This window comes from Homo sapiens, chromosome 3, assembly GCF_000001405.40.
Source record: "Homo sapiens chromosome 3, GRCh38.p14 Primary Assembly".
Lineage (NCBI taxonomy): Eukaryota > Metazoa > Chordata > Mammalia > Primates > Hominidae > Homo > Homo sapiens.
In genome coordinates, this window is record NC_000003.12 from 107,273,749 (window position 1) to 107,301,248 (window position 27,500).

General features: G+C 35.4%; 1 long non-coding RNA gene across 1 annotated transcript in view, besides 2 other annotated features; it reads left to right on the forward strand.

The window, feature by feature from the left end:
* The window catches only part of DUBR (DPPA2 upstream binding RNA), an 86,273-nt gene that overhangs the window by 33,057 nt on the left and 25,716 nt on the right, over positions 1-27,500 (forward strand). Inside the window, exon 2 of the long non-coding RNA NR_028302.1 lies at positions 18,014-18,182. This is a non-coding gene — a long non-coding RNA (DPPA2 upstream binding RNA). The remainder of the gene's footprint in view (positions 1-18,013; positions 18,183-27,500) is intronic.
* Positions 10,682-11,491: an enhancer, noted in NCBI's record as "OCT4-NANOG-H3K27ac hESC enhancer chr3:107003277-107004086 (GRCh37/hg19 assembly coordinates)". NCBI's record gives its function as "activates a minimal SCP1, AML or CMV promoter by ChIP-STARR-seq in primed H9 embryonic stem cells {active_cell/tissue: H9 hESC(primed)}" and the evidence as "EXISTENCE:reporter gene assay evidence [ECO:0000049][PMID:30033119]".
* Positions 11,492-12,301: an enhancer, noted in NCBI's record as "OCT4-NANOG-H3K27ac hESC enhancer chr3:107004087-107004896 (GRCh37/hg19 assembly coordinates)". NCBI's record gives its function as "activates a minimal SCP1, AML or CMV promoter by ChIP-STARR-seq in primed H9 embryonic stem cells {active_cell/tissue: H9 hESC(primed)}" and the evidence as "EXISTENCE:reporter gene assay evidence [ECO:0000049][PMID:30033119]".

The following is a 27,500-nucleotide window of genomic DNA, read 5'->3' on the forward strand; positions in this document are numbered from 1 at the left end:
CAGTAAGATTTATTGGCTTTTCTCTCTTTCTTGTCTTATTCTCCTCACTGTCTCACTTCTGTTTCCTGGGACTATCTCCCAAATAAACTACCTGCACCAAGTCATTATCTCAGCCTCTGATTTCATGACAATCCAATTTAAGCATTGGTGTGGGAAGAGGCTCTAGAAAAATGCCCCTCATTATAGACTTTGAAACTGAATTACTAAACAGTCAGATAGCAACTGTCACATGTGGCAAGTGTTGGGAAAGGAGCTAACTCCTAGATTGTTGTGGCCTCACAATGACTAAGAGGCTTATCTATGGCATATTGGGATGTGGTACAGGTGAAAGGCGTATGCTGCATCTATATCACTTGAATGGTATGGGGTAAATGTAATGAAAAGAACGGGATATGTAGGTATGACTGAGAGCCTAGAATGCCCAGCTTATCCTAAACTCTAGGTCATCAAAAGTAGTCTCTGCCCCTTGCTAGAAAAGCAGCCTTCTATTGCCAGGAGACCATGCAGTGATCTTAAAGTAGATGCTTGTAAGATAATGCTTAAGGCCTGCCCTCACTTCCCTTCATTGACTCCCCTTCCCTTCACTGACTCCCGGCCAGTAGCTAAAGACCTCAGCATAGTCCAAGCAAGGAAGAATACTTCTTGCTACAAGAGTAAATAGCTTACCAAAAGATTTGCAAATCCTGGCTCATGTGTACTGACAAAAGCTGGGAGTGGATCTTGAGAATAATAGACCTGAGGATATGGGGCATAATATAAGCCTCACAATGGGGCAGATGATTAACATGGTTGCACTCTCTCAAAAGTTAATGTACTAGCAAGGACACCTGGAGCCAGTTCTAAGATGACGCTGCAATGATTCTTTTGAGCTTGGACACGACACTGTCTTACAATAAATGAGTTAGAGATGACAGATTGTGTTCAGGGAGTTGATAAAGGGAACAAAATGATCATCAAATGGGCATCTTTAAATCGATTAATTATGTGAGCAATGAGAACCTACTGCCTGATTATGTTCCGTGGAAAGGGAAGACACATCCTTCTTTAGGGTGCAAGGAATGCACCAGTGAGGGGGACACCAGCATCACTGAGACACTCTTGGGTGACTCTACTTTGTAGCCCAGGATTGACTGGGGTAGATGCTATCTTGGGACTAGAATCCTTAGTGTCAGTGGGGATGGTAGAATTGCATAATAGTGGAGAACAACTAGTAGCATTTAACTATCAGAGGCAACATTGATATCATTACCATAACAGAAAGCAAGAGCATAGTTGCCACTTGTTTGCCTTGATTTGTAGAGATCTGTGGTCATGGTCATTAGACCATCGTGTCCTCAGAGCAAAGTATAAAAACAGTGAAAAGAACACCATATGCTTTAGCAGTCTGCCAAAAGGCTCAATGCATTAAAAAAAACAAAACAAAACAAAACAAAAAAAAAAACAGCTTTGATCAATCCTATCTCTGATAGTCTACCTACCTGCTTACCAAATATTCATTTTGCCCTTTCTGCTGTACATAGTATGCAGTCACAGTTCAAAAGAGGCAATTCAAAACAGTATCCACTCAATACATCAAGTTCATTCCAAATCTTTTAAAAATTACAAAACAATAAAATAAGTAGATATGTATTTTGTTCCTACAGTAAGTGATAAAACTCCTTCCATAGCAAGAGAAAACAGAGCTTAACAAAACACTCAGCTTCTATTTCACAAAAGTCTAGATACCTTTTGCTATGTAACAAACCTCTTCAAAACTTAGTGACATAAAATAATAGCAATATTTATATTTCCCAGAAATCTGAAATTTGACAAGGCTTGGCAGAGATAATGTGCCAAGCATCTTCTGGATTAGCTATGGATGTCAGCTAAAACACCTATACGTGCTGTCTATATGTGCACTCACAACATGGTGGCTAATTTCCAATGATGAGTTTCTCAAGAAGGAAAGCCACAAGGAAGCTGCTGACTTTTTTAGCCTGACTGTGGTGGTAGTGACACAGCATTACTTTTCAATGCATTCTATTAGTCAGATGCAAATGACAAATATAACACTGAACAATATTAAAGAGGAGGGTAGTTAAAGCAAACCTTTTGATGAAAAAAGTGTTAGGCCGGGCATGGTGGCTTATGCCTGTCATCCCAGCACTTTGGGAGACCAAGGCAGGCGGATAGCTTGAGTCTAGGAGTTTGAGACCAGCCTGGGCAATGTGGTGAAACCCCATCTCTACAAAAAATAATACAAAAAAATCAGCTGGGTGTGGTGGTACATGCCTGTGGTCCCAGCTACTTGGGAGGCTGAGATAGGAGGATCACCTGAGCTCAGGAGGTGTGGGTGGCAGTGAGCCAAGATCACGCCACTGCACTCCAGCCTAGGCGACAGAGTGAGACTCTATCTCAAAAAAAAAAAAAAAAAAAGTGATAAAAAGTTTGTGGACATGTTCACAAACCACAACATGCACACATAGTTTTCCCTTATTGATCTAACTGGCTGGCTACATGTATTAAAAAAAAATACTTGTTTGAAAATGTAAAACCTGAGGCTAATATAAGACTGGGCAGGATACTTACTGGATAGGCTCAATAATAGAATGGAAGTGACAGGAAAGAGGACTTGGGGACGGTACCTTTTGGTCTAGTATTTGTGGAATTGGCATCCCATAAGGAAAGAAAAAGAGGATGGTGCAGAAAAATATCTGAAGAAATAATGGCTGAAAATGTCCTAATGTTGATGAAAGTCACAGATTTACAGATTAAAGAAGTTTAGTCAACCCCAAACAGAATAAACGCAAAGAATTCCATGCCAAGATACATTATAATCAAACATCTGTAAACTAAAAATAAAGAAAAAAGATTTTTTTAAGCAGTGAGAAAGAAAGACATTAACTAGAAAATGGGAACAATAATTCAAATGACAGTGGATTTCTAAACTGAAATCATAGAGGCCACGAAGAAGTGACTCAACATTTTCAAGTGCAAAAGTTTCCTTCAGGAATAAAGAAAAAATAAATGCTTTCTCACATGACAGAAAACCAAGAGGATTTGTTGCTAGAAAACTTACTCCAAAAGAATTGTTAAGGGAAGTTTTTCAGATCAAAGTAAAATGAAAAGTAAAAGGAAGACTTTGAATATCAGGAATAAAGAGAAAGCAACAGAAATGGTAGATACTTGGGTAAATATAACTTCTCGAGCTCTTAAAAATACATTTGATAGATAAAAACAAAATTGTCATATTATCTGATGATTTATTTAATGTACATCAGTGAAATATGTGGGGAAAGTACAACATAAATTGAGGAATATTAAAGGACCTATATGGTGCTAAGCTTTCTTCATTCTAACTGAAGTGGTAAAATATAGATTCTAAAGAGATCATGAAAATTAAATATGCATACCTCTTGATTGACCACTACCTAAACTGTTAAAAAAAAAAAAAAGAGAAAGTCAAGCACACAATAGATAAATTAAATGGAATACTACAAAAGTTTATATAATCCAGAGGAAGGACATAAAGGAGAAACAGAATAGCAGAATATGGAAAAGGAAAAATAGAAAAAATAAAATAAAATTGTAGACCTAAATCCAAATATACCAATATTACATTAAAGGTACATAGTCTAAACACATAGAGATTGTCAGGAAAGATTTACAGAGAAAAACTGTAGGCAGGTTAAAGGTAAAAGGATGGACAAAGTATATCATGTAAACACTAATCAAAGGAAAGCTAAAGTGATAAGAAGGGATATTACATTAATATAGATAAATTTACCAAGAAGCCAAAACACTTCAAAATGAATATGGACATAACAACAGAGCATCAAAATATGTGAAGCAAAAACTGACAGAAAAGAAAGAGAAACAAACTCATAATTATATTTGACAACCTCAGTTTCTCTCAGTATTTAACAGAACAAGCAGACAAAAATCAGAAAGGATGCAGAACTGAGTAACAGTATCCACTAAGTGGATTAAATTCATATTTATGAAAAACTTCATCAAATAAAGCAAAGTACAATTTTTCAAGTGCACATGGAATAATCACCAATATAGACTATATCCTGAGTTACAAAACAAAACTTAAATTTTAAAAAATTGATACCATACAAAATATATTCTCTAAGCATAATAGAATTTAACTAGATATCAGTAACATAAAGATAACCGAAAAATTTCTAAACACTTGGAAATTAACATGCAATAAACAACCCATAGGTCAAAGAGAAAATTCATGGAAAGTTAAAAAATATATTATACCCGGCCAGGCGCAGTGGCCCATGCCAGTAATCCCAGCACTTTGGAAGGCTGAGGCGGATGGATCACTTGAGGTCAGGAGTTTGAGACTAGCCTGGCCATCATAGCGAAACCCCGTCTCTACTAAAAATACAAAAAAATTAGCCGGACTTGGTGGCACGTGCCTGTAATCCCAGCTACTTGGGAGGCTGAGACTGGAGAATTGCTTGAACCTGGGAGGCAGAGGTTGCAGTGAGCCGAGATCACACCATTGCACTCCAGCCTGGGCAACAGAGCGAAACTCCATCTCAAATAAATAAATAAATAGAGGGGAAAAATTAGTTTTTATTAACCTTTGAAAAGGTTAATAAAATTAATAAAGCTCTAGCAAAACTGAAAAAGAAGAACAGAGAGAAGACATAAACTACCAACAACAGGAGTGAAATAGGGGATATCATTACAGACTCTACAAAAATTAAAAGGAAAATAAGGGAATGCTATGGACAATTAATTATATATAAATTCAATAATTTATATGAAATGGACCAATATCTCAAAATCCATAAACCAACAACACACATCCAAGATGAAATCAATATTCCTGAGCAACCTTATAACTATTAAAGAAACTGAATTTTTTAATGAAAAAAATCTTTTAAACAAGAAATCTCTTGGCTTAGATTATTTCACTTGCATATTTAAAGATGAAATAGCATCAATTCTGTAGTCTCTTCCAGAATATAAAAGCTTAGGGAACACTTCCCAAATCTGTTTATGAGGCCAGAATTTCTCTGATATCAATACCAGACAAAAAGGTCAACAAAGTAAAATAAATCTACAGAGCAGAATCATTCACTCCTGAACACTGACATGAAAGTTCTCTACAAAATATCAGCAAATAGTATACAGCAATATATAAAAGAAATAATGACCACTGGATACCATGGCCAACTATATATCTACCACATTAACTGTCTAAAGAAGAGAGACCATATTATCATACTAAAGATGCAGAAAAACCATCTGATAAAATTCACCATCACTTAATTATTAAAAAAAAAAATCTATCAGCCAAGTAGGAATAGAAGAAAACTTCCTTAACATGCTAAAGAGCATCTACCAAAAAACAACAAAAACAATAAAAACCTCTACCTAACATCATATTTGTTGATGAAAGACTGAATACCTTCCCCCTTAGATCAGGAACAACAAAAACATGTCCACTTCCATCACTCCCATTCAACATCATAAAGATTGGATAAGGAGAAATAAAATCGGTCCTGTGTGCAAGAGATGAAACTGTCAGTGAAGAAACACCAAAGTAATCCACAAAAAACCATGATGAACTAATAGGTGGGTTTAGCAAAGTCTCAGGATACATAATCGACACACAAAAATTGATCTGTGGTAGAAATCTAACAAAATATTTGTAAAACCTTTATACTGAACACTATACAATACTGAGGAAAGAAGTCAGTGCAGTCCCAAATAAGTGGAGACATACTGTGTTTATGGGTTAGAAGATTCAGCATAATAAAAGTGTCAATTCCAATGTAATTCCAATCAATCCCAACATGATTTTGTAAACACATACAAGCTGATTCTAAAATTTATATGGAAAGACAATGAAACTAGACTAACCAAAACAATTTTGAAACAGCAGAATGAACTGGAAAGTCATTTAAGAATTACTACAAAGCTATAATAATCAAGGCAGTGTGCTATTGGTGAAGAGATAAACACAAAGATCAATGGAAAAAAATAAAGTACAGAGACAGACCCACACAAATACACAAATATGGCCAACTGATTTTTTTTACAAAGATGTGATGGCAATTTAATGGAGAAAGAATCCTCTTACAAGGGAACAACTGAACATCTATATGCAAAAAATGAATCTCAAACCTCAATACCTCTGAAGTGGACTTGGCTCAATTAAGACTTGTTGAAAAGCTCTCTGTAGGGCTATGTTACAAAGCCGTTAGATGCTAAGGGATCAAGAGACCTGATTAGCCACACTGGAACGTGACTCAGTGTGAATCCTGGATACAAATACAAAACATAAAACTACAAAACTTTAGAAGAAAACATAGAAAACCTTCATGACATGAGGTTAGACAGAGATTTTAGATGTAACATCAAAGGACAATTCATAAAATAAAAAAATTGATACATTGGACTTTGTCAAATGTTAATACTTTTGTGAAAGGATGTTGATTGAAAAGACCGCTGGACACAGTGGCTCACACCTATAATTCCAGCACTTTGGGAGGCCGAGGTGGAAGGATCGCTTGAGCCCAGGAGTTTGAGACCAGCTTAGGCAACATGGCGAAACCTCATCTCTACACAAAATACAAGAATTAGCCAGGTATGGCGGCACATGCCTATAGTTCCAGCTACTCAGCAGGCTGAGATGGGAGGACAGCTTGAGCCCAGGAGGTGGAGGCTACAGTGAGCCATGATCACACCACTGCATGCCAGCCTGGGTGACAGAGCAAGAAAGACCCTGTATCAAAAAATAAAAATAAAAAGGTTGAAAATACCATCAATTCTATAGTCTATCAATTCTAGCAATTCTATACTATCAATTCTATAGTCATTAACTGAGAGAACTCACTTGCAAATCATATATCTGACAAAGATACATATCTCATATATATCTGGAATATATAAAGAATATTAAAAAACACCCTAAACATTCACCGACAAGTAAACAAATAACCTAATTTTAAAGTGAGTGAAGTATTTGTATAGGCACTTCACCAAAAAAAAACCCCACAAAGTTTTCAAATAACCACATGAAAATATCCTCACCATTATTATTAAATGCATGATGTACCACTTCACACCTATCTGAAAAGCTAAAATTAAAAAAAACAAAACCAAACCTGACATTACCAAGTGTTGCTGAGGATGGAGAGCAACTGGAACTCTGATACATTCCTGAAATGAAAATGGTAGAGCTACTCTGGAAAACATTTTGACAGTTTCTTTTTAAGTTACATATATCTTGCCATGACCCAAAATCCCACTCCTCAATATTTACCTTAGAGAAATGAAAACAGATGTTCATACAACATATGTTCACACACACACATATGTTCACACGTGCCCAAACTGCCAAAAACTAGAACCAACCCCTCCATCAATGAGTGAATAGAAAAACTGTTTACTGTGGAGTACTATTCAGCAATAAAAGGAACAAACTATTAACACACATATAAACTTGGGTGAATTTCAAAGGCATTATGCTGAGTGAAGAAACCAGTCTCAAAAATTGATGATTCCAATTACCTGACATTCTAGAAAGAGAAAAATTATAGCTACAGAAAATAGGTTAGTGTTTGTTATGGGTTAGGGCTGGGGAAAGGGTATGGCTACAGAGAGAGAGCATGAGGGATTTTGAGGGGATGATGAAACTGTTCTGCACTTCAATTGTAATAGTGGTTACATGGATATATACATGTGGTAAAACTCAGAACTATATACCAAAAATAAAAAATGAATTTGACTGTATGTAAAATCTAAATAAATTTAAATTTATTTAAAAAATAAAATGTCAATAATTTTTAATAATTTAAACTCTAAGTAAAAAATAGTTATCATTTTCAGATCTCTAACTACATGCCAGGACCTTTCTTTTTTTTATTTTTGTTTTTATTTTTATTTTTTTGAGACGGAGTCTCGCTCTGTCGCCCAGGCTGGAGTGCAGTGGTGCGATCTCAGCTCACTGCAAGCTCCGCCTCCCGGGTTCATGCCATTCTCCTGCCTTAGCCTCCCTAGTAGCTGGGACTACAGGCGCCTGCCACCACGCCTGGCTAATTTTTTGTATTTTTAGTAGAGACGGGGTTTCACCGTGTTAGCCAGGATGGTCTCAATCTCCCGACCTTATGATCCGCCCGCCTCGGCCTCCCAAAGTGCTGGGATTACAGGCTGGAGCCACTGCGCCCGGCCATGCCAGGACCTTTCTAGCTAAAGGCTTTGTGTTCATTAACTTATTAATCCTTACCATAGTCCTGTGACTTAAGTATCCTTATTCCACAGATGAGGAAATCTAAACATAGAGAGATCAAATAATTTGTCCATGATCACACAACTAATAGGTGGCTCAGTTAGGATTTAAACTTATCTTTATCCATCTAGAGCCATAGTCTTTACCAATCATTACTTTGAGCATTGGGACAGAAAATCAATCGCTGGTAGAAGGATATGCTATTACTTTATCTCTTTTCCAAACTTTTTGAAGAAGACTAATAGTAGGATATTTGTTTTTGATGTTTAAGATGGGTACAAACTAACACTTACTCTTGGCATCAAAAGTGAAAGGAAAAGAGTTTTAGAAGTCTGCCAAATCTCAAGATATATGAGAACTGTAAAACTTTCCTCATCTACAAGGCAAATAGCTAAGAAACTCAAATAACTGACTTTTTTAAACTGAAATTTACTTTCATGCGAAAGATATAAATGACAAGTAAACAAGCTGATATCAAGAATTTCTGAAGCAATTTCAAAAATATACCCTAGGGTCAGCATATTTTCCACCTAATTTCATAGACAGTCTACTTAGAAGTGTAGAATTCAAATCAATAAGTATTTGACCACCTACTATTTATGTTCATTATGATAACTGTATTACTTCGAGATCCTGAGGTGTTTTCTGAATCATTAAAGCAAGTTTAACATTTTTCAGTATGACCTTATAATTATTTATTTTGTCATTTTCCCTCTAAAATAATTGAAAACCCATTACTATTTAGCCAGATTACTAAATTAACTATTAAATTTCATTCCCTCAATCATTTCAGTTAATAAAAGTTCAAGGTTGCTCAACTGTTTTAAAAGAAAAATTAAAATCAAAAGCAAAAACTAATCCTTGTCTTTGTTAACTATACTTCCTGGTTACTGACTTTGAGTTGTGTCATCAAGACACATCACAGCCTTTCAATTCCTTTTCTTTCATGTAACTCTAGGGTTAGAGTTGATACTAAATTATTAAAAGGCAATTTAAACTGATGTGAGGGAGCATGCACTCTCAGCCTCTTTTCTTTGCACCCATCACAAAATGTTCATGTTTTGATGATGCTGGGAGACTCTGCTCAATTTAATTCAACTGCTTCAATTCTGTAGTATTCTGCCAAACATTGTATTAGACCTTGGGAGTCAAAAATTAAGTCAAGCATGAGCCTTACTCTCAAGTTACTCAACAACAAATAGGAAACACAAGCATTTAAAATAATGGCTCTAAAAATAGACATCTCTAGAGTCTAGAAAGATACAAAGGAAGAAGTAACTTTGCCTGGGTGGGTAAACAAAGGCAGCACAGAGCCCTATAAAATCACTGAATAGATCTTAGCCCAGCCGTAACTATGTCACATCCCTCAGCTCCTGCAGGACCCATAAGGTGAGCAATCATACAGAAAACCCATGAGGTGTTTGAGGAAGTTTTATGAAATCATGCATTAATCCAGAGTTCAGCACACTTTTTCTGTAAAAATCCAGATAGTAATTATTTTAAACTGAATTCCACTCGGTCTTTGAGTGAAAGCAGCCATATGCAATATGCAAATGAATGAGCGTGGCTATGTCCTAACAAACATTTACAAAAACAGGTGATTACACTGGGTTTCAGGGGCATGGTTTGCCAATTCCTGCGTCAATTAAATCAATACAACTAAATGTATGAGTTTCAAATATAAATTACTTGGTCTTTTACTGATGAAACCACAAAAGAGTTATGCCTATGAAAAATGACCCCTCACCAATAAAATTAATAAAGACCCAAATCCTTTTTTTTGCACATATCTAAAATAGACCAGCCTTCTTATACAAACAAAATCTCCACTCCTAAGAACTTTCTTCCTGCTTAACAAATTGTTACCTTTACTACCTAAAGTTTTGGGGAATATTAGGAAACCCTGGAATTAAAGAGGAAGAGCTTCATTAATTGTGTTCCTCTTCTTACTCTCAGACCTCTGTTTTCAAGGGTCCAAGAATTTGAACAGATGGAAATGTATGTGAACTGTGTGTGGATGTTCTATGTTCCAGTGCAGCTAATCAGGTCTCTTGATCCCTTAGCAACTAACTGCTTTGTAACATAGCCCTGCAGAGAGCTTTTCAACAAGTCTTAATTGAGCCAAGTCCACTCCAGGGGTATATGCATAGAGCTTGACCCTTGATTTTGAGTGAGACAGGAGCTACCTGTTGACGCATGATTCAAACTCCTTTCATCACGGTGTCTGAAGAATAATAAAAAGTGGAGCTGAGACTGACGTAACTAGATGATAATGGATGGGGGTGGTGAGAAAAGTATGAATGCTATGACCAGATTACCCAGATTTGTAGCTAAATCTGGGATGTTACTTTCTTAAAAAGTGCATCCAGCATCATGTAGAAGCACTAAAATTTAGGTAAGTCAGCAGGTCAGAAAAAAAGCAGTACATGCTTTTTTTCAACTGCTGTTATAAAAACATAGTAAATAAATACTGTTGAATCCAAAACATAAACAGCTTTAAAAAATTATTCTAATGCTTTAGCAAAGGTAATGCTTTTATTTTATTATGAGCTGCCCACGTGTACTTCTCAGGTTGTGAATCATTTGAGCAATTTTTCAGTTAAGGAACATTTTGTTCTAGAATGAAAATAATATCAAATGCCCCTCAGTAGTGTGGGGTTAGCATAAACATGGAATGACAGGCAGTTTAATATAAAACCAGAATAATGACATCATCTTACAGTACATTGAAGCTGCTATATGATTTCTTATGCATAGCATTTTGGTTTTCATGAGCATAATTTCAGGGACCATATTTTGATGAGTCACAGTCTTGTTTACAGTGCTAACATTTTGTTCTCTCTTGTAACTATGATAGGAGTCTGAAGAGATTTTCAACTCATTCACTGAAGCTGCTACTTACTGTCTGCTGCTGATACTCTTTGCAAAAAGGATTATAGATAGCTCTGGATTTCAGAATCTTAGATATTTCCTAACCAGAGTGCAAGGACCTAAAAGCCCTTAATCGAGTTTCTAATCACAAGCAAGATGGTCCTACATTAAGGGCCCTTTGAGAGTAGCATTCATGTCATTGTATCTTTGTCCCATATCAAATAGGTTTCTTATTTTAGCACCAAAGGCAATTCTTTCCTTGTAGACTGAAGAGAAGCCCTAACCAGTCAGTTAAGGAATAGAACACAGTAGCTACCATTTTATTCTCTCTCCCACAGGACTCTGGAACCTATTTTATTTTGATGAACAGCTATATATTGAATGCCATTTTACTAGTGTTAGTTCATTTCATCCTCATAACAACCTTGTGACGTAGTTACTATTGTTATCTCAATGTACAGAGGAGAAAATGAGACACTGAGTGGGACTCAGGGATTGCTCCAGGCCACACAGTCAGCAGGAGGCAAAGCCCAGATTCAAATGCAGATTACTCAGCTCCACAATCCACATCCTCACAGGAGGCTGCACTCCTTGCCCAAGCGTCAGACAGGAGCAAAGAGAAAGAAGGCAACCAGCTGGCTACTTTCTTCCCTTCTTGGATGCCTCCAACAGGGTGAGAAGGACTAAACAAATGACCAAGTGTCATCCCATTTTGGACATACTTAAAACACCCCATGGAATTTTTATTCTGACTTTCTTCTGCCTGTGTGGCATTTATGTTTAAATAAAAGAGAATTCAACTCGTATGTCTGATATCTTCATGACTAGTTTGCCAGGGATAGTCCCCATGTACACTTTGTTGTATCGTTGACCTGTTCAGTTTAGCATTTGCTCAGGGATTTCCATTTTTAACCTAGTGCTATTAGCAACAGTTGTGTTAAACATGCTAAGATGGGTCTGGTGAACTTTGACTTTTCGAGCTTCAGTCTGGTCTCAGCAAGGAGTAACTGAGATTTTGTGCAGTGAGCAGAGTTCCGACTTTAACACATGGTTAAATCTGATTGACTTCCAACCCTCTCTAAACACAAAGTAACTAACAGCAACTTCCCAAGTACATTGCTACAAGCTGAATATTTATGTTCCCTCCAACATTCAGATGCTGAACTCCTTACCCCAGTGTGAGGGTATTTGGAGGTGGGACCTTTGGGAGATTCGGTCTTCATAAATGGGATTAGTGCCCTTATAAAAGAAATCACAGAGAGCTTCCTCTCTCCTTCTACCATGTAAGGATGCAGCAAGAAGACACCATGAACCAGGAAGTACGTCCTCACCGGACATAGATTCTGCCAGTTCCTTGATCTTGACTTCCCAGCCTCCAGAACTACGAGAAATACATGTCTGCTGTTTATAAGTTGCCCAGATTTTGATATGTTGTTATTGTAGCCTGAACAAACTAAGACAGACATCATGCAGGACTCAGTAACAAAAGGAAATGCACACAAACGCTGTCTTGGTGTTTGCTGCCCTGTCAGCTTACTGGTGGCCCATTCAGTGGAGCATGGCCGATGCACAGGTTCTTACCACAGGCCTCGCCACAGCTAACAAGATACCTGAAACTGTCAACTTGCCAGTTGGTGGAGTCTTTGAGAAATAGGGAAAAGTATAGGGTTAATTAAGATGAGATGTGCAGGGGAAATAAAGACAGAGATGTCCTAACCCATAGGTAATTGTGTTGTTGTTGTTGTTTTTGTTTTGGAGACGGAGTCTCGCTCTGTCACCTAGGCTGGAGTGTAGTGGCCTGATCTCGGCTGACTGCAACCTTCACCTCCCGGGTTCAAGTGATTCTCCTGCCTCAGCCTCCCGAGTAGCTGGGAGTACAGGCACATGCCACCATGCCCAGCTAATTTTTGTATTTTTAGTAGACACAGGGTTTCACCACTGTTGGCCAGGCTGGTCTCAAATTCCTGACCTCAAGTTATCTGCCCACCTCAGCCTCTCAAAGTGCTGGGATTACGGGCATGAGCCACTGCACCTGGCCCCTATAGGTTATTGACTATAGTACCCAAATAAGTACCAAGAAAAAAAATTCCTGCTTATATAATTTTAATATACAGATAATTCATATAAGTACTTTAAAAATATTGCTTTAAAATACAAAAGGAGCGAGACTCCATCTCCAAACAAACAAACAAACAAAATACCTATAGTTTAGGACATCTCTGTCTTTATTTCCCCTGCACATCTCATCTTAATTTACCCTATAATTTTCCCTATTTCTCAAAGACTCCACCGACTGGTGAGCTGACAGTTTCAGGTATCCTGTTAGCTGTGGCGAGGCCCGTAGTAAGAACCACCACATCGGCCATGCTCCACTGGATGGGCCACCAGTAAGCTGACAGGGCAGCAAACACCAAGACAGTGTTTGTGCGCATTTCCTTTCATTACTTCTTTATTTTAAAGCAATGGAATTTTTAAAATTATGATTATATCTTGCTATTTTATTTTTAAATAGTTTTTGAATAGAATTTATATGTTTACAAATAAAAGACAATCAATTTAGCAATCAGTTATTACTTCAAGAATTATGTAATTATAATTATAAGCATGCCATTTTATTCTCAAATTTTTATATGGTCACCCTATGTGGGGAGGAAATCCATTACACTGTAAGACAGCCCTTCTCATCCATGGTTAGAAGCTACAATTACTAGAAAGTTCTTCCTCACACTTATTCAAAATTTCCTTTCTAATAAACTTTTTAAAATTTAATTCTGCCTTCTGTACCTACATAAATTCAATTCCAGAACCTCTTCCCCAGTAGAAATATTTTAAAATATTATCTTCTGTTTCTTGTCTACCCAAGCAGATTTGTAATATTTATAATCCCTGTATATCTACTTTTTCCTACCTTTTTTTGGTAAAAGCTTTTGGAATGTTTAGTCATATAACAAATAAACATTTGTGCCTGCTTTGAGTAGGCAGCAAGAGGTACTTCTTTTTTAAAATCACTTATTTTTTTCTCCATGGTGATGGTAGTATTCTCATTTTTTCACCCTAGTGATTATTTCTTGCAGAGACAGTGAATACTTAAAAAATTTTAATGGAAGGAATAAAAATATTCCTTCAGCGAAAAGAAATAATAGCAAGATACTGAGATGAAGATTTCAATATACCAATTACAGAAAATTGGCATAGGCTTCTTAAAAGGGCACAGGTTTTCAGTTTAGCTCCACCTCATATGGTTTTGTGAGGGTTAAATAAAACAATATGAAGAAAACAGAACAGATTGGAAATACTATGTATACATTAACTCTTTTAAAATAATTCATCTTTTTAGATCTTCTTTCTGACCAAAAATAAAAAGGGAAAAATATTAAACAGTTGACTCTTACAAATATACGGGGAAATTGAGAGAAATTTAAAATTTTTAAGAGACTACAACGTATATCCTATGATAATAAATTTGAAAACCCAGATTAAACACATAAACACTAAGAAACCAAAAATTACCAAACTAATTCAAGAGGAGGTAAGAAATCTGAACTGATCCTTAGATCCAAATAGGCAGAAAGTAGGAGCATAGTATACTGCCCACCAAGGTAATTACTCCTGCATGGACTACCTCACCGAGTTATTGGATAGAGCCGTTCAGCACATAGATGTGGAGTCGTTGAATGAATCAAATTGGTAAGAAAAAAATAGAAAGATTTTTCACCCAGAAGGGCAAGAGTACTAGATGATTTTAGAGAAAGGCTCCATCAAACACTTCTGAAACAAGGAATTCTTATTTGCTCTTTAAACCAATTCCAAGCTCTATTTGAGCTATCCTAATGAAACTTGAAATAGCACCTATAAATATAGATGCCAAAATCCTAAATAAAATGTTATAAAATTATTCCAGAAGTGTAATAAAGAAATATGAAAGCAAGTTTGTTTTATATCAGTAACACAAGAGCAGTTCAATATTAAGACATTTATTAAAGCTGAAAATCACATGATTATATCAAGAGATACAGAAAAGACACTTAATAAAATTCAACTACATTCCTGACAAAAATCTCTTAGGAAATGAAAATTGGAAAACATTCCCATAATGTGATTTTTTAAAGTATTTATCATAAACCAGCAGTAAACATTATTTTAAACACTGAAAGACACATTCTCTTAAATACAGGAATAAAACAAGGATGCCCTCTTTTTATTTTAAATGGTTTTTACCTAGACTGAAAATCCCTTCAAGGTTGGTACAAGACCTTATTTGTGTTTATATCCCCACTTTTAAAGTATTTTGTAAATGGTATTCTTGTGCTCTATGATCTTTTAGTGAGTGCAAGAATCAAATTATTCAGTAGGCTAATTAACTGAAATCAACTAGTAAAAATTATAATTTCCATGTAAATTTATAAGGAGGAATTTCTCAGGAACCCCAGTTCAATATAAACTGAGAATGATGCACTCCATAATTTCTTTAATCAGCTGAAATCTTTAGTCTGTCATTCATTCCACCTTCTATAAAAATACTATTTGGTCATTTATCACAACTTTGCAGCAGTCCTCCAGATATGATCTTTGATTGGCTCTTCCTGATGTAAACCTTGTTCTTGGAAACTTGCTTCTGTTTGTATCCTTTTCTTCCCTTGTCACTTTCTGCTTGAGTCTAGTAAGCCAAAGTCAATAGAAAGAGGATAGACCAGTCAGCCCTAAGAACTGACAAGTCCAGAAGTTCTTGTCAGATCAATTTCCTTTGGACAAAGTTTGTCCTGTGTCACCTTGCAACACCTTATTAGGATCTTCCTCAGTCTTGTCTTTGTATCCTGAGAACTGCTTTATTTGGTTTTGCTGCTCAGAAGGGGAAGGTTCTCTGGATCCCAACTGGTGATAAATAATCTTTGGTCAGTTTCTAGAGATCAGAGGTTTGCACAAGCATCATTCTTACTAACCCCTGCAATCCTAATAGGATCTTCTCATTCTGTTTGCCTACCAGGTAGAATACCTCCTCCCTTCCTGTTTTATTTCATGTGCATTTCTCTCTAACTGGCATAATTCCACCAGGGACACTTTGATATTTAGTGACCATTTGGGGAAAATTTTGACATGAATAAGATTATTCATTTGAGAGGTACATTCAAAGAAAAAAGGAAGAAACCCTCATGAGGAGATTCTCTGTCTTGTCAATCTAAAAGAGAGATAACTTCCATAAAGAAGGAGAAAACTTATCTTTGCTTTTGTACTTCAGGGACTTAAGAAGTATCATTTTAAGTTATAAATTTGATAGAATTGTCAAGGGCCTGAGTTACTGTTTAAACTGGCTTATTTCCTCTCACATGCTCTCTCTCTCCTCTCACCTAATCCTGTGTATGTGCACATATACGTGTGTGAAAAATGAGTTTTCCTACATCTATGTCTTTGCCCTCTCTTATGGCCTGAATATTTGTGTCTCCCCAAAATTCATGTGTTGAAATCCTAACCCTCTATGTGATGATATTAGGAGGTGGGACCTTTAGGAAGTGATTAGGTTATGAGGGTGGAGCACCCATGAACGGAGTTAGTGCCCTCATAAAAAAGACTCCAGAGAGCTACTTTATTCCTTTTCCACTATTTGAGGATGGAGCAAAAAGGTGCCATCTATGAACCAGGAAGCAGACCCTCACAGTGTTAGGTTTTGAAGGGAAGGCAAAGGTTAAAGAAAGACACAGAGAGAGAGAGTGGTGCCTCTACAGCAAATCCAGGCTCTATGTCCAGCATAAGACCTGCAGAGGTGGGGGACCAGCTTAATGCCATTGCCCGCCACTGCTTACAGGCTGGAGCAATTATAGGCCTGGGCAGGAGGGGTCTGGGGAACACGGCCTGCTGCCTGGAAAAATGTCAATAATATGTTCTCTTGATGAGGCAGTTTGGCCCTTATTCCGGCAGAATATGATGTTCCTCGCACTTTCTCTCAGGAGAATATGATAAGAAAGTCCAGTGGCTGGGCAGGCTGTTTCTCATGGCCTGAATCCCCATGGAATGTTTTACTTTGACCAAGGTCTGGGAAATGGCGAGGGACTTACAAAATTGTGCAGTTTGGACTAACACACAGGACATCAAATCTTTTGACAATTTTATTTTGGACTTTCCAGTCTCCAGAACAGTGAGAAATAAACATCTGTTGTTTAAGCGATCTAGTCTATGGTATTCTATCATAGTAGCTTGAATGGATTAAAACACCCTGTCATAGTCTGTTTTGTAATGCTATAAAGAATATCCAAGACTGTGTAATTAATTTATAAAGAAAAAGGGTTTACTTGACTTATGATTCTGGTGGCTGGAAAGTTCAAGATTGCATCTGCATCTGGTGAGGGTCTCAGGCTGCTTCCACTCATGATGGAAGACAGAAGGGGAGCCAGGGTATACCGAGATCACATGGTGAGAGGGGAAGCCAGAGAGACATGGGGGAGGTGCCAGGCTCTTTTTAACAAACAGCTCTCAGGGGAACTAACACACTGAGAACTCACTCACCTCTGAAGAGAGGGCATTAATCTGTCCATCCACCCGCGTGACCCAAACACCTCCACCCACGTAAGCTCCACTTCCAACATTGAGGATCAAATTTCAACATGAGGTTTGGAGGGGACAAACATTCAAACCATAGCACCCCTTCCTTGCAGAGGGGAGATAATGAGCCTTTACAATGTTAATAATATATGTATCTGATGCCAGCTATTTGTATTTTTTTGTTTTTGTTTTTTCTTCCTTTCTTTCTCCTTTTCCCTACTCTTAGGAAACTTTGGAGATTCACTGATTATTTAAAAATGGTTCCATACTAATGTACACACTCTAAGAGCATCTACTCCAGATAAATAGTCAAGAAAGTCAAAAAGAAAGAGAAATATTAAACTGTGTTTCTTTTGTATGTTTTCCCAGATAAAACACTAACTCAGAGAAGAAATTTAACTGCAAATTTGGTTAATGACCATGGATTCCTAATGAGAAGAAAAGCTAGACACTGAGAGTTTAGAATAAACTCAAGAATCTTAAAAATTTTCCCATGGAACTGCCTTTGCACCTCTATAAAAAATTAATTGACCATATGGTAAGTAACATGTGAGTTTACATTGAGGATAGATGAGCCTTTGGACAAAATTAGAGTGATTTAATTTTACAATAAAAACAACTCTATGTCTTTTTCTTGGTTCTGTCATCATGTAAAAAATAATGCTTGCAAAATTTTTTATTAACACAACACTTGGGCTTAATTTCCAATAATTTCTATTTTTAAAATGTCTTCCATTAGTGTCTTGGATCTTGGAAGATATAATTCTGTCTGGAAAATTTTTAAGACAAGATAAAAAATATATATATATACACACACACATACATACATATATATGTGTATATATAAATAATTTAAATGAAATTGTCTTGACACATGTTTTTCAAAGAGTATAATCTTGTGAACTTTTCTAATACTACAAATCACAGGATTTAATCTTCTGACTTAAATTGTACTTTCCAGATATTTAGTCACTCTAAGATGTTAAACTAATGTTAAATTGTTTTATTTAATGAATAATCTTTGGATATATAATTTTTCTATAAGAAAAAACAGAAAACTTTGATTATTAGATATAATTTTAAATTTCTTTTACCTTTATACATAAAATCACTACAGATTAAGGAGATGTACAAATGTCCTTAAATTATATTAAATGCACTTACTTTGCCATCTTAAAATTTATTTAAGTAAAATAACATATATGCTCATAAAAATAGTTTTATTGATCTTGGTTACCTATCTTCTAGTTTTCTCTTGTGTCTGGAAAAATAAAAGTTGGTTAATTTTGTTAAAGGTGGTAATTAATAAAATCGACTATGCAGACATTTATACATTTACTTATACATAAAAATATATTTATGTACTTTAATCTCTATATTACTCTTCTAATTCAATTTTTAAAGTAAAGTTCCATTTTTCTGTATGGTTCTATGAGTGTAACACATGCACAGATTCTTGTAAGCTTCATCACAAATAGGTTATAGAACAATTCCACACCTTCCCCAAAATGTCTCTTTTCCTGCTCAGTAGATAGTCAAACTCTCCCCTCAGGCCTAAGCCTTGCAACCACTGATCTTCTTTCCCTCTATTTTTGCCGTTTTTAGAATGTCATACATATTTAGCCTTTTAAGATTTACTTCTTTAACTTAGTAAATGCATTTGAGATTCAATCATGTTGTTGCATGTACCAATAATTTATTTCTTTTTATTGCTGAGAAGTATTTCATGGGTTGTTTATCCATTTACCCACTGAAGAACTTTTAGTCTGTTTCCATTTTTGGGCAATATGAATAATGTGGTTCTGTTATAAACATTCATGTCCAGGTTTTTGTGTGAATATAAGTTTTTATTTCTCTACAGTTAATACCTAGGAATCAGATTCCTGGGTTATATGATAAGTGTATGTTTAACTGCCAAACATTTCTAAAGTAGCTATTTCATTTTGCATTTCCACCAGCAATTTATAGGAGTTTCAATTGCTCCACATATTTGCCAGCATTGATATTGTCATTAAGAAAAGTCATTCTAATAGGTGGGTGGTGGTATCTCATTTTGGTTTTCATTTGGAGTTCCCTAATGACTAATGATGTTGAGCATATTTGATGCACTTATTTGACAATCATATTTTTTCTTTGATAAAGTGTCTCTTTAAATCTTTTGACTTTTTTTTCAATTGGGTTGTTTTATTATTGTTGAGTTTTGAGAATTCTTTGAATATTCTGAACTCAAGTTCTTTGTTGGATATATGATTTTCAAATTATTTCCTCCCTATCTGTGGCTTTTCACTCTCTTAAAAAAGAACACAGGGCAAATGTTTTAAATTTTTATGAGGTTCAATATATTGATTTTTCTTTTATGACTCTTGCTTTTGGTGTAATATCTAAGAACTCTTTGCCTAACCTGAGGTCACAATGATTTTCTCCTGTTTTCTTTTAAAATTTTTATATATTTACCTTTTATTTTTATGAGTTAAATTTTAGTACATGATGTCAGGTAAGAGTGGATGATCATTTTATTGGCATATGAATGTCCAATTGTTCTAGTACCATTTGTCAAGGCTATACTTTTCCCATTGAATTGCCTTTGCACCTCTATAAAAAATTAATTGACCATATGGTAAGTAAAATGTGAGTTTATGTCTAGAATCCAGATACTGATCCACTGGTACTGTTCTATTGATCCTTTTGCCAATACCACAAGATCTTGACAACTCTGACCTTATAGTGAATCTTAAAACTGGGTAGTGTGAGTTTTCCAACTTTGTTTTCATACAAAATAATTTTGGCCATTCTAGTTTCTTTGCACTTTCATGTAAATTTTAGAAAGAGTTTATCTATATCCACCAAAAAATCTTCCTGGGATTTTAAATGGGAGTACATTAAATCTATAGGTAAAGTTGGAGAGAATTGGCATTTTGCCAATGTTGAGTTTTTCAACTATAAATACACTGTATTTCTACATTTATTGGGATTTTCGTTGATATTGTTCATCAGTGTTTAGAGACTTCTAGCAGATAGATCCTAAAAATATTTTGTTAGATTATACCTAGGTAAATTTTCAGTCTTTTGAAAAATGATCCTGATTTTAAAACTTTGATTTCTAGTTGTTCCTTGCTAGTGAATTAGTTCTTGGATTTTTAAAATTAATTCTTTAGGATTTTCTGTGTAAACAATCATGCTCTCTGTTAATATGTATTATTTTATTTCTTCTTTTCTGATTTTATGCCTTTTTTTCCCTTAGCTTATTTCACCAACTAGAACTTCCAATAAAACATTGAATAGAAGTGATGAGAGTGGATATATTTGCCTTGTTCCTGATTTTAGATGATAAACATTTTGTCTTTCACTTTAGATATGATGTTAGTTCTAGGGGCTTTTTGAAGATGAGCATTATTATGTTGCAAAGGTTCCATCCTCCTTCTAGTTTGTGAGGAAATTTTTATCTTAAATGGACATTGAATTTTATCAAATGCCTTCCCTGCGTCTATTGATATGACCACATGGTTTTTCTTAAGTCTATTAGTATGGTGAATTACACTGAAGATTTTTGAATGGTGAACCAGACTTGCATTCCCCCAAATAAACTCTACTTACTTATGATGTATGGTTGTTGAGGGTTTTTTAATATTATTCTTTTATATTGGTTCTCCTCTATGTTTTTATGTGTTTAATTTATTTGATGTCTGCTCTCATTTTATTATTTTCTTCCTTCTGTTTGCTTTTGCGGTGGTCTGCACTTATTTTCTAGTTTATTAATGTGAAGGTTTTTCTTCTTGATTTATATTTTTGTTTTCCAGTGTAAGGATTTTAGTGCTATAAATTTCCCTCTAAGGACTGCTTTAACTGCATCCCATGAATTTTAGTATGTTATATTTTTACTTTCAAAATACATTCTGATTTTCTTTGAGATTTTCTTTTTGACCCATATAATCTGTAAAACCATGTCATTTAATTTCCTGGATCCAATTTTTTATTACATTATTATTTTATTGAGGATTTTTTAGTATGCTTTTGTGAGAGATATTGGTCTACAATTTTCCATTCTTGTACTATCTTTGTCTGGTTTTGGCGTCAGAGCAATGCTGGCTACATAAAATACATTAAGAAATAGTTCTATTTTGTGAAAGAAATTGTACAAAATTGGCATTATTTCTTCCAGAAATGTTTGGGATTTCATCAATAAAATCATCTGGGCCTGGAGGGTTTTTTTGGGACCATTTTTAACTATGAATTCAATTTTAAAATAGATATGGGACTCTTGAGTTCTTGATTTCTTTTTCTTTAAATCTTTCAAGAAATCAGTCCATTTTATCTAAGTTGTCAAATGCATGTGCATGGAGTTGTTCATAGTAATCTCTTATTATGCTTTTAATGTCTGTGGGGTCTATAGTAATATCTCTTCTCTCATAACTAATATTAGTATTTTGTGTCTTCTCTCTCTTTTTTTTTTTTTTTTTTTTTTTTTTGAGACAGAGTCTTACTCTGTTGCCCAGGCTGGAGTGCAGTGGTGCAATCTCGGCTCACTGCAACCTCCACCTCCCAGGTTCAAGCAATTCTCCTGCCTCAGCCTCTCAGGTAACTGGGATTACAGACGTACACCACCATGCCCAGCTAATTTTTGTATTTTTAGTAGAGATGGGGTTTCACCATGTTGGCCAGGCTGGTTTCGAACTCCTGACCTCAGGTGATTCACCTGCCTTGGCCTCCCAAAATGCTGGGATTACAGGCATGAGCCTGGCCTTGTGTCTTCTCTTTTTTGTTCTTCATCAGTCTTCTTAAAAATTTATCAGTTTATTTGTCTTTCCAAGGTATTATTTATTGTTTCTCCTCTATTGTTGTTATGTGTTCAATTTATTTGATGTCCACTGTCATTTTTATTATTTTCTTCCTTCTGCTTGCTTTTGGTGTAGTTTGCACTTATTTTCTAGTTTATTAATATGAAAGCTAACCTTATTGATTTATCTTTTTTTTTCAGTATAAGGCTTTTAGTGCTATAAATTTCTCTCTGAGGACTGTTTTAACTGCATTCCACAAATTTTAGTATATTTTTATTTTCAAAATACTTTCTGATTTTCTTTGAGACTTCCTCTTTGACTCATGTAATCTTTAGGACTATGCCATTTAATTTACAAAGATATAGAGTTTTTTTCAGGTAACTTTCTTATGTTGATTTTTTGATCAATTTATGGTCATAGACTATGGTTTGTATGATTTCATTTATTTTAATTTAATAAATTTTTGGTGACTCAAAACATGGACTATCTTGGTGTATATTTCATGTGCACTTAAAAATATGTATTCTGTTGTTGATTAAAGTGTTCCATAATGATAATTAGATTAAAGTCTTGGTAGTGTTGTTCCAGTCTTTTATATCCTTGGTGATTTTCTACATACTTTTTAAATAATTACTGAAAGAGGAAGGTTAAAGTCTATAATTGTGGATTTGTCTATGTCTCTTTTCAGTTCTGTTACTGCCTGTATTAGGTAAAACAGAGCTTTTAAAGTTGTTATTAAATGCATACACAATTAAGATAGTAATGTCTCATTGATGAATTGAGCCTTATATCATTGTTTAAAGTGCTTCTTTCTTCCTGGTAGTTTTCCATGTTCTGAAGCCTATTCTGTCTGATATTAATATAAGCACTCCAGCTTTTTGTATTAGTGTTTGCATGGTATGTCATTTTTCAGGCTTTTGCTTTTAACCTATCTATATCATTATATTTCAAGTGGTGTTTTTGTAGACAGCATATAGTTATGTCCTGGTTTTATCATCAATGTGACAATCCCTGTTTTTAATACAAAAACTTTTACATTTAATGTAATTATTTATATGGCTGGATTTAGGTCTATATATTATTATTAGTTGTTTAATAGCCCTTCTTTTTTCTTTTATTCTTCTGGTTCCCTTTTTGCCCTTTTTTCTTTTCTCTTGGATTACATGAATTTTTTTATCTGTTGGTGTTTTACTATACCTCTTCATACACACACACACACACACACACACACACACACACACACACACGAATAGTTATTCTAGGCATTATAGTATACATACTTACCTTCTTTTGAATTATTACCTAAAATGTAAACTGAGAGTCAATATTTTACCCTTTCAGACAAACTATTGAAACTTTACAATCCATAACTACTTTTACCTCCCCCATATTGTAGTTGTGACATATATTACATCTAATGCATAGAAAAAATTGCATAGAAAATTCCATCTCACAATGTTATAATTTTCAATTTCAATAGAAATATATATAGAGAGATGGTGGTTAGATATAGATGTATTTTAAATACGTGCTATGAACTACATATGTGTTCATATGTAGGGAATTCGTATGCTGAAATCCTAATCCCCAAGGCAATGGTATTAAGAGATGGAGCCTTTGGGGAGTTAATTAGGCATGAGGGCTAATGGGATTAGTGCCCTTATGAAAGAGGTCATAGGGAGCTGCCTTGCCCCTTCCATCATGTGAGGATACAGAGGTACAGTGCTGCCTATGAGGGATGGGTCCTCACTGGATGCCAGCTATGCGAGCACTTTAATATTGGACTTCCAGGCCTTCAGAATTGAGAAATAAATTTCTGTTGTTTATAAGCTACCCAGTCTATGGTATTTTGTTATAGCAGCCAAAATGGACTAAGAGTACATAAAATCCCAAAAGTAACCTATAGACTTACTATGGGTAATGGATTACATGCTGTCCCCCTCAAAATATGTCCCTGTCCTAACCCCTGATATGGGTGAACGTGACCTTCTTTGGAAAAGGGGTCCTTGAAGATATAAATAAGTTAAGGATCTCAAGATGAGGTCATCCTGGACTGCCCAAATGGGTCCTAAATTCAATGATAAGTGTCCTTATAAGAGACAGAAAAGAAAACACAGCCATGAAGAGAAGGCAGCAATGTGACCACAGAAACTAGAATGATGCAGTCAAGGAAGCCAAGGAACGCTGACAGTCCCAGAAGCTGGAGGAGGCAAGGAAGGATTCTTCCCCCGAGCTTTGGAGACTGCACAGTCCTGCCACACCTTCTGGCTTTCAGAACTGTGAAGGGATAAATTTCTGTTGTTTTAAGCCACCAATTATGTGGTAATTGATTATGGCAGTTCTAGGAAAATAATACAGATATCATTTCAGTTGCTTTTCCTTAACTCATAAAGTTCCTATTTTTACTCTGTTATAATTCCTTCCACCTGAAGAACTTCTTTTAGCATTTCTTTTAAGGCAGGATCTTATAGCAATAAACTCTCTGTTTTCCTTCATGTGAGAATGTATTATTTGCCTTCACTCCTGAAGAATTTTTTCACTGGCAATAGAATTTGGGGTTGACAGTTTTTTTTCTTTAAGCACTTGAAAAATGTTATTACACTATCTTCTAATCTCCATAGTTTCTGATGAGAAATCTTCAATTATTCAAATCACTGACACTTTTCTTTTTCTTTATCTTATTTTTTTTTTCTTAGAGACAGGATCTCACTCTGTTCAGGCTGGAGTGCCGTGGAGCAATCATAGCTGACTGCAGCCTCAAACTCCCGGACTCAAGCCTTCTTGCCTCAGCCTCCTGAATAGCCGGGACTTCAGAAGGGCACTGCCATGCCTGGCTATTAAAAAAAAAATGTAAAGATGGAGTCTCACTTTGTTGCCCAGGCTGGCCTAGCTTTAAGTGATCCTCCTGCCTCAGCCTCCCAGAATGCTGGGATTATGAGCTGAGCCACCATGCCCAGTCAACTGACATTTTTCAATGATTCTTTTCAACAATTTTCTTTTTCATAGTTGGTTTTCAGCAGTTCAATTATAATGTGTTTGGAAGATTTTTCTTAAGTTTATTCTGCTTGGAACTTGCTGAGCTTCTTAGATCTGTCCATTTATTTTCCATCACCAAATTTGTGAAATTTTCAGCTGTTCTTTGCTCAATAATAACTTTTTTATCACCAAGATATCTCTCTAAGTTTTTGACATATTCCTCATTTGTTTTGATAAAAGTTTTCTTATTTTCTTAGAAAAAATAAGTTACTAAAAGTCATATATCATTGTATATCTTCAAAATATTGCTTAAAACTAGGACTTGTATTTAAATGTTTTTTCTTCTTAAAGACAATTTTAATTTATGATTTTCTGAATTCAGTCCATAAATTCAGATCATTCAAACTGTTAAGATGTCTTTTATGCTGACATTATTTTTAGATTTCCTGGAATTTCCACCAGGTAACACAAAATTCTGCTCCTTTACCTCATAAAGTAAAAATAATGGAGATAATTAGGTTTATTTAGCATTCTCCAGATGTTTTTACGTCAAAAATGAAGAGAGACCTTTTATTTTTTCAACTTAACAAAAAATGGACATATCACAAAAGTTTAGACTTCCTATCTTAAGTAACAAAACATTTTAATATTATACACATTTTTATGTTAAAATAAGCATGCTATTGTTCATGTACACAGACTGGTATAATAATTGTTTAAAATATTTGATATCTAGGTTACTTGATTCCAATACTTACGTTAATCAGGGCTGATCATAGTATACTTTATAGCACAAATCAAAGGTCCCGGAGGTTTGTCAATGTCTTCACTGTTCATAATGTGTTCTTACTCCCAGAGTTATTATTGACTATATCCTTATACTTGTGTTGTGTATCATACCTAAAAGAGAATTTTGCTTCGCTATATGTCCAGAGGATTTAGATTTCGAAAGAGACATCACAGGAAAAAAAGTGTCCTTGAGGCTTGATGAAAATGATATTTTCAGATCCTATTAATACATAATACAAAAGAAAAACTGTAAGGTGTGGACTCTAAGATCTATATCTCTCAATTAAAGAAATATAATTCATCCGTGAATCACTGAAAGGATGGTCTTAGCAGGACTTCAAGCTGAGGATCCTTAGGAACTTAGGAATTCTCCAAAAGCATAGATTTTGAGGGTGGAGACAGCTTCAAATTAAGACCATCAGATCATGGAAACAACTGTGAATAGTAGACAACTTCCATTCAAGATCTATGAAGAAGATCCAGATGACCAGAACCAGTGATTCCCATGCTTTATCTGCAATATGTCATTCTTTATTTCCCTAGCTATTTTCTCTCCTCTTTGTTAAAGTTTCTGATTGCTAACAGAAAGTTATTATTTCTTAAACATAATATCTGTACGGTTCCCATCCTTAATAATATTTCGGCATGTTTACATACTTCTTGGCCTGATTCCAATACCTGCCAGCAGTTTTATTGCAATTTGGCTAAAGAATACAATCAAACTGACCTTTGGATTTGTACTCATTTTTATCTGGGTGCCATCCAGCTTTATTTGATACCTTTTCCTTGTTATAAATAAGTTGGTTTCCACCAATCAACTTATTTAGATGACAAAAACCGTAACAGACCAGAGAGTCAAGAAACCTAAAGTCTCTGCTATGTCAAACCTATAAATGAGGTGTTTCTTCTTCTGTAGGAAAAAAATACACAGAAAAGCTAGCCTTTGCAATCAACCCTTACAGAAATAGAATGTAGAAAAAGCCAGGGAACAGTTGGGGTATATTTAAAACATTGCCTAACTTTTACAGACCTTGCAAGAAAGGTGCATTAGTTAAGCTAAACCCCCATCCCTGTCCAATTTACAGATTGCAGTCAATAGTCTTTTGTGCTTCAAATCCAATACTAGTTGTGAGGGATTACCCAATGATCTGCTTTCAGTGGAAATGCTCATATGGGGATGTCAGATAGAATTGGCCTAGCACTAGGTGATAGACCTTATGCCAGGCCAATTCTATTTGACATCCCCGTATGAGTATTTGAAGCACAAAAGACTATTGACTGCGATCTGCGATCTGTAAATTGAACAGGGATCTATA